At 57.6% G+C, this 7,051-nt stretch overlaps 1 protein-coding gene across 1 annotated transcript, besides 2 other annotated features; it reads right to left on the bottom strand.

Moving 5' to 3' along the window:
- Positions 3,015-3,215: a silencer, noted in NCBI's record as "peak2904 fragment used in MPRA reporter construct". NCBI's record gives its function as "represses an SCP1 promoter by STARR-seq MPRAs in K562 erythroleukemia cells {active_cell/tissue: K562}" and the evidence as "EXISTENCE:reporter gene assay evidence [ECO:0000049][PMID:32103011]".
- Positions 3,478-5,390, bottom strand: NOG (noggin). The gene has a single exon (NM_005450.6). It carries the CDS (start codon positions 4,863-4,865, stop codon positions 4,167-4,169), a length of 699 nt encoding a protein of 232 aa, NP_005441.1. The 5' UTR covers positions 4,866-5,390; the 3' UTR covers positions 3,478-4,166.
- Positions 6,328-6,537: a silencer, noted in NCBI's record as "silent region_8738". NCBI's record gives its function as "represses an Ori minimal core promoter by ATAC-STARR-seq in GM12878 lymphoblastoid cells {active_cell/tissue: GM12878}" and the evidence as "EXISTENCE:reporter gene assay evidence [ECO:0000049][PMID:35858748]".

The following is a 7,051-nucleotide window of genomic DNA, read 5'->3' as shown; positions in this document are numbered from 1 at the left end:
AAACTCTCTGAGCTTCAGTTTCCTTATTTGGACACTAGAGGCCTTAGTTGAAAATGAGTGTAAAGGCCTAACACACCGCTTGGCACATCACAAACCATTAATAAACACCTGCTAAACAGGTACAACAGAAGGATTGATCCGCTTGCTGATGATCAGTTGTTATAATGTCAACTTTAGGGAGAACTCGCTCCCATCAATTAAAAAAAAAAGCAAAGAAAAAAGAGAACAAGAAAAAGAGAATCATGATGAGGCTCACTAGAGAGGCACCACCTAGCCAATCTCAACTGTATTAATCTGTGTGATCTTCAGCAAGTGGCTGCTGAGGTCTTAGTCTTCTCATCGGTAAATTGAGCGGTGGACATTGGAATCCAAGCTCCCCTCTAGCTCTGACATTCCAAGAGCATTAAAGAAAAAGGATGAATCACCCCCTTCAAAATACCAATATGGGCTGGGCCCTCCCCCTGTAGTCCCCATCGAGCACAGCTAAGAGCTCTTAATACGCAGCCAGCTTCTTCTTGCAGCTGCCACCAAACTTCAACCCCCTTTCCCAGGGAGTCTCAGAAGCAAGACTGATAATGGACCCCTGGCCTTCTCCATCTCAACAGAGAACTAAATCCCGTTCCCAGACTCTGGGGGCCAGAGGACCCTCCATTGAGAGGGCTGGCTTTCCCTCTCAGTTTGGTCATTGGGCCTCAGTTTGCTCTTGTGTGCAGAGAGAGAGAGAGAGATTGTGTGCGGTGTGTGTGTGTGTGTGGTGGGGGGGGACATTGAAAGTGGAAGGAAAGAATAAAGGGGAGGCTTGCAAATAGGAGGTTGATGAGTGAATTCTCGAAATTCTAGTGGGAGGAATGGGTTGGTGGAAACCTTGCCATTCTCTTCCAGTATTTGAAAAAGTTGACACGTATGTATCTGTAATAGTTATAAATCTCCACTCTGGGGAGACACAGCCCCCCAGCAGCCGCATAAATTCATAGACACAGGTGTCAGAACCGCAGAAGTCACTAGATCAATTGTCCTCCTTACAGGAGATAGGCACTGGATGACCGAAGAGGACAGTTTTCTTGCCTCTTTACCCAGAGCTCTCTCCTCCTTTCCGCATTGATGCTATTATTAGTATTATCGGCATTAATAATAATGGAGAGGTAACCAGCTGCGCATTAGGCACAATGTTCCAGGACCAGCACTTCCTTCGTTAGCTTCTGGGACTGCCTGGGTCCCGCTGGGTCCTCTCCCGCGGCCGCAGCGGCTTCGGGCCTGCTCTCTGGTTCTGTGCATCCGGTGGTCTGTCTGTCGCCGGTCACGTCTGCAACCCGCGTCCTCCCAGCTCACACCGGCTCCTGCTCTGAAAGCCGAGAAGCTCGCCGGCTGCGGGCGGGTTTTCCAAGTGGGCAGGGGTGGGGAGGAGGGGCGCGGGCGGGCGGGCCCGCGGAGGGAGGAGGGGGCGTCGCGGAGGGGAAGACCTCGCATTGTAATCCAATGACATTGCCAACGTGGGGGTGGGGGCGCTGGCCTCGGCGCGCTCTCCGAGTTTTGGCTGCCCGCCCAGCTGGGAATAACTCTCTTCGCATAATTCGCGTGTTTACCAGGCATGAAAATTCTTGCTTTCGCCCCCCTCGCATAAGACCCCTCCTCTTCCCCACTCCCCACCACCTCCGCCCCTCGCAAGTGAAACTCTGTCTAAAAAAATATTGGCCCGGGGCACAGAAAGTTTTGCATAAATTCATAAGTGATGAATGGCTGATTTTAACGTTATTTGGGTATTTGTCAGAACTTAACAAATATACATGGGGACGGCAGTTCATAAACTTAAACATCTCAATATCCCCTTTCTTCTGGAAATAAATTACGTTTGTTTGCCCAGCTTGGAGTCTTAAGGTAGCCGACATTAGGAATATTTTAAAAGCCATCATCCATCGAGCATGTCTCCCAGGCGCCAGGAAGATTAAATGAAAGAATCATAAGATGGAGGTCTTTAACTTTTAATCCTTTTACAATGAAGCCTCAGATAGTCGCGGGGGCAGGGTGCCCTCTCTGGGGGGAATAATGCCGTTATTCCTCGGCTCTCAGTTAATGAATACCCTAACGTCTGTCCCACGGCTGACGGAGGCAGCGCCGGGGAGGGGGCTCGGCTCCGGGGCCAGGCTATTGAAATGAGGAGCCATCGAGGCTGCGTCGGGAGGGAAGAAAGCGCCGGGCTGGAGGGACAGGGCGGGCGGGGCCGGGGGCATTGAGACTGCGCTGGGGACCAGGCGCAGGTTTGAAATAATTAGCATAGATTCGCCGGGACTCCGGACTTGGGGGGTTGGGGGGGGTGGGGGGTGGGGTGGAAGGAACGCCGGGAGGGAGGCGCGGAGAGGTGGCAGGGAGGTGGGGAGGGAGCAAAGGAGAGCGACTTTGGAGTCCAAGATAAATAAAGAGAGCGCTGAGCAGTGTCAGGAGGCTGGCCCACGTGGAGCTGTGAGGACGGGCGCCACTGGGGACTGAGGCGGAGGGACGCATGCGAGAGTCAGGCGTCGGTCCCAAGGAGTTGGCTTTTTAAGGGGTGGGGTGGGAGTGATGTTTTGCACGTCCCTTTAATGGGTTACGTGCCTTCTGCCCCTATCTAATCTTAAAGCGCAAAGATTCCGGTTCCGATTTCTCCCTCCTCCCCACCCCTCAAGGGGAGAAAGTGCCCGAGCACAGGCATACTCTCTTCCCAAAAGCAGATGCCAGAGGTGGTGATTTTCACCCAGATTCGGACCCCTCCGAAACCATGGCCCTTAGTCTTCCTTAGGTCCCCGGGGAGAGGGGAGGCCAGTGTCAAATCTCCCTGATATCCCCAGCACCTCCGGCCGAGGGCCTGGGATTTCGGGGCTCGGACCTGCAAGATCCCGGAGGCTGTGAGCCTTGTTGATTCCAAGGGATTGCCTCAGTTCGTACCACCGTAGCTTCCGGGCATGCAAAGGGTTAACATGGGCTGGATATTGAGGTGGGGGGTACGAGGCGGGAGGGGTGGCGGGATCTGGGTGGGCGCGCTCTGATCTCCCCCCCTCCCCATTCCTCGGGGGTCAAGTTTCAGCGGCACTCCGCCCCCAGGGTAGGTGTGAAAGACACGTGTCCCCATTGTGAAGGGCCTGTCAGGCAGGACAAAGCGGCCGCCCACCCTCCCCCCGCCCCTCGGCCCAGCCTGGGGTCAGCTCCAGGGGGCCGGCTGGGTGTCGAGGTCACTACAGGCCCGAGCTTTGGTGACATAGGGGGAAAAGCTAGGAGACTAGGCGGAGGCCACGTGATGTTTTAGTGAGGGGTTAGAGAATATCGCCCCCCCCCCCAACGCCCTCAAAAAACTAAGTCACCTCCATCATACCACAGGAGGGGAGTCCGAGGGGATGAGCCCCTTCCCCAACGGGGTAGGAGGCACAGCAGCATCCCCTACCCGCCCCCTCCCACGCCCTCCCACCCCCATCAATCACCAACACAGAAAATCAGTGTGGAGCGCAGTCGGTTTTAGTGGTTTTCTTTAATCCTGCTCTGCACTTCTTTCTCATTTACTACACGGGATATTATAAAGAATAAATAGCAGATACTCTTAATTTACAATGATTAGTCATTCCATTTGTTCTCTATATTTACAATAACTGTAAAATAACATTGAACTCTATAGCTTCTTCGAGGTCCAAGGAAAACCAAAACACTTTCCGAAGAATGGAAAATAGCTTTTAAAAAGTCCTCTACAAAAGTTCCCCCGTCTCTTTGTACTTCAAGAAAAAAATAACTTTTCCCCCCTGCTTCGCCATGCGAAGGGCACTGGAATATAAATAGCAGGTTAACATTATTAGCAACAACCAGAATAAGTCTCTCTTTTCTCTGTTCTTTTTTTTTTCTTTTGCTTACTTTTTTTTAAAAATACAGTAGAAGCCGGTAACTTTTAACGTATAATACTGACCTTTTAATAAGTAAATTAAAACTGGGACCGTATATACACACACATATACATTCCTACACAGTTAAACAGTGCATTACAGGAACCAGAAAGCTAGGTCTCTGTAGCCCAGAAAAAAAAAAAAAAAAAAAAAAAAAAGTTCATTGAAAACCCTCGCTAGAGGGTGGTGGAACTGGTTGGAGGCGGTGCAGGGGGCGTCGGTGGGGATCGATCAAGTGTCCGGGTGCGGGCAGGGGGCCCCCGAGTTCTAGCACGAGCACTTGCACTCGGAAATGATGGGGTACTGGATGGGAATCCAGCCGCAGCGCTGGCCCCCGCGCCGCTGACAGCGCCACCGCAGCACCGTGAGGTGCACGGACTTGGACGGCTTGCACACCATGCCCTCGGGCACGGAGCACGAGCGCTTACTGAAGCAGCTGCCCACCTTCACGTAGCGCGGCCAAAAGCGGCTGCCCAGGTCGTTCCACGCGTACAGCACGGGGCAGAATGTCTGCGACCACAGCCACATCTGTAACTTCCTCCGCAGCTTCTTGCTTAGGCGCTGCTTCTTGCCCTGGGCCAAGCCCTCGGAGAACTCTAGCCCTTTGATCTCGCTCGGCATGGCCCCCGACGGCCGCTGCCGCAGCAGCTGGTCCAGCTCCGCCAGGTCCTCCGCGCCCCCAGCTGCACCCCCGCCCCCGCCGGGCCGGTCCTCGGGGGGCGAGGTGGCCATGAAGCCTGGGTCGTAGTGGCCCCCGAGCAGCGAGCGCAGCAGCGTCTCGTTCAGATCCTTTTCCTTGGGGTCAAAGATAGGGTCTGGGTGTTCGATGAGGTCCACCAGGGGCAGGTTGTCGCTGGGTGCCGGGCGGATGTGGAGATAGTGCTGGCCGCCGGCCGGTGTCGCCCGCAGCCCCAGGACCACCACCAGGGCGTAGAGGGTGACCCCTAGGCTGGGGCAGCGCTCCATGCCTCTGGCGCGCGCCCGGGGCTGCTGCTTCGTCCCGCGTCCCCGGAGGAGAGCACGCCGAGCCCGCGGCGCCGCCGCGCTCCCCCGTCTCTCCGGAGGCGGCTCACCCGAGGCTGGGCAGGCGCAGGGCCGGCAGCATGAGCCGCCGGGAGAGCCCTTCGCGCAGCGCCGGCTCCCACCGGGGCGGAAGAAAGGCACACAAGTTGGCCGCAACTCCTCTCCCGGGTCTACTGGGGAAGGCGGCCGCGGCTGGGCATCCGAAATTACTCCAGGGCGACCGCGGGGCGCGGGAGGCGCCGGCTCCTCGCTGCCTTCCCGGGCCGGCGGCGGCGCAGGGCGCGTGGACGAGCCGCTCTCCCCTCCTCCTCTCGCTGCTCTTCGTCCGGCCGCTCTGTGCAAGCGCCGCTGGCTGAGCTGGTTCTAGGGGCACTTCCCTCCGCCTGCTCCGGGCTCCGCGGCCGGCTCTGCCCGGCGGACTCCAGCGGCGGCGGCGGCGGCGGCGTCCGCGCACGTTGGCACCGGTTTGTCTGTCTCGCAGGGTCCAAGCCTTTAAATTTCCTGCACTTTCAGCTCCATCACCATGGAAACCACTGACTCTCTCGGCGTTGCCCCCTCCCCCTTCTTCCCCCCAAACAACAACCCCACCCCCCACTTCTCCACCCCCGAGGAGCTGGAGCTGCACAGGCTCCGGGGGAAGCCGCCTGTACTCGCCGCGGAGGCGGCGGCGGCGGCTTCGGCAGCGCCCAGGGCTGTGCCCCGCCGGACCCAGATGCCCCGGGAAGCCGACAGTCCGGCTGCCCGCCGGAGCTCACAGGCGGCGGCGGCGGCGGCGGCAGCGGCGGTGGCGGCGGCGGTGGCGCTTGGCAGGTCTCCGCGCAATTTTCTCTCTCCCCCACCACCCACCCCCCTTCTCCTCCTCCTGCAAAATGCACCGCCCCCCTCCTTTCTCCTGGAGCAATGCAACTGGGGCTCTAGGCGCCCCGCCAGGGCCAGTCCTGGGGAAAGCTCGCGGCGGCGCTGGAGCCGGGCTGGAGGGTGCAGAGCCGGTGTTTGGGGAGGGGGGGCGGTGCTTGAGGTGGGGCTGGAGGGTTTCTCACTAGCTGGGTGCTTTGCACTGGGAGGGGAGCAGCGGGGAAGTGCTGGGGGCTCGTTTCTCGGTGCATGCAGTTCGGAGCAAGAAATTTCTCCATGTGCATGGAGCGTTTTCCCCGAGCGCGTCTTCTTCTCTCCCGGGCTCTTGCTCTAAGTCCCCTCCCCCCAACACACATATATACACACACACACACACACACACACACAGCCCCTACCCCACCCCCCTTTGCACCAGGGAGTCCGAGAGCCGCAGCGTTGCGCAGCGTGATGTAATTCTTAGGAAGCACTCCTGTCTGTCTGCCCCTCGGGCCCACGAGGGGGTTCCGCTCCTCACCATCCTCCTCCTCCTTGGCCGGGTCCTGCACCCTGAGTGGCCTAGCCTCAGGGGCGCGACTGGCTCGCCTGCGGCTCCCCTAGCCCGCCCGGCTCCGCGCGGCCGCCGCTCGGCTCCCTGGGGGCGGCGCGCCCTCTGCTGGCCCGCTATGAGCCCTGCACCTGGCGCTGGCGGGGGCGGCCGTGCGAGGTGGGTCGGCCGCTGCCCGCTCTGCCCAGTTCAGCTTCTGCTTCTGTGTCCCTGTCACTTTGTGTGTGTCTGCGTCTGCTGACTGGTCCGTTTTGGTTCTGGCTATTTTCCCGAAGGTCTCCAGGCCCCCAGTGTAAACAAACTTCCTGAGATTCCTTCTCGGTCCCCTCAAATTTCACAAGAATGCGTGCAGCACCTTCTGCCTCAGGTAAATCGGTCTCTGGTCTCAGTGGGTGCGAGTGGGGACCAGAAACTTGAAAGGTGAGCTGACAGCAGAGGCACCTGAGTCTTGCCCGGGGTCCACCCTGATATAACTCGGACAAGTCATTTTTCTCACTTTTCGCATTAGTGACGTAACTATTAATAGATTTCTCTTCCAGCCCTACCTTTCTGTGATTTTAAATAAACCTCCACGATGCTTTCTCTTGTTCAGAAGCAGTTTCTCTTTGATGGGAGATGGGTACTGAAGGGACACCTCCGGTTAATTTCCCCTTGGACGAGGAACTCAATCTCAGCTTTAAAATGCAAACTCAGTTTTCTTTGTGGTGAATGTGATTGGAATCTGGAAAAA

The sequence above is a fragment of the Homo sapiens genome, chromosome 17 (assembly GCF_000001405.40).
Source record: "Homo sapiens chromosome 17, GRCh38.p14 Primary Assembly".
NCBI classification, from domain to species: domain Eukaryota; kingdom Metazoa; phylum Chordata; class Mammalia; order Primates; family Hominidae; genus Homo; species Homo sapiens.
This window is presented reverse-complemented; position numbering and strand designations above follow the sequence as displayed.

Excerpts from the sequence above, each read along its gene's own strand:
- NOG (NM_005450.6), bottom strand. The coding sequence starts at position 4,865 with ATGGAGCGCTGCCCCAGCCTAGGGGTCACCCTCTACGCCCTGGTGGTG.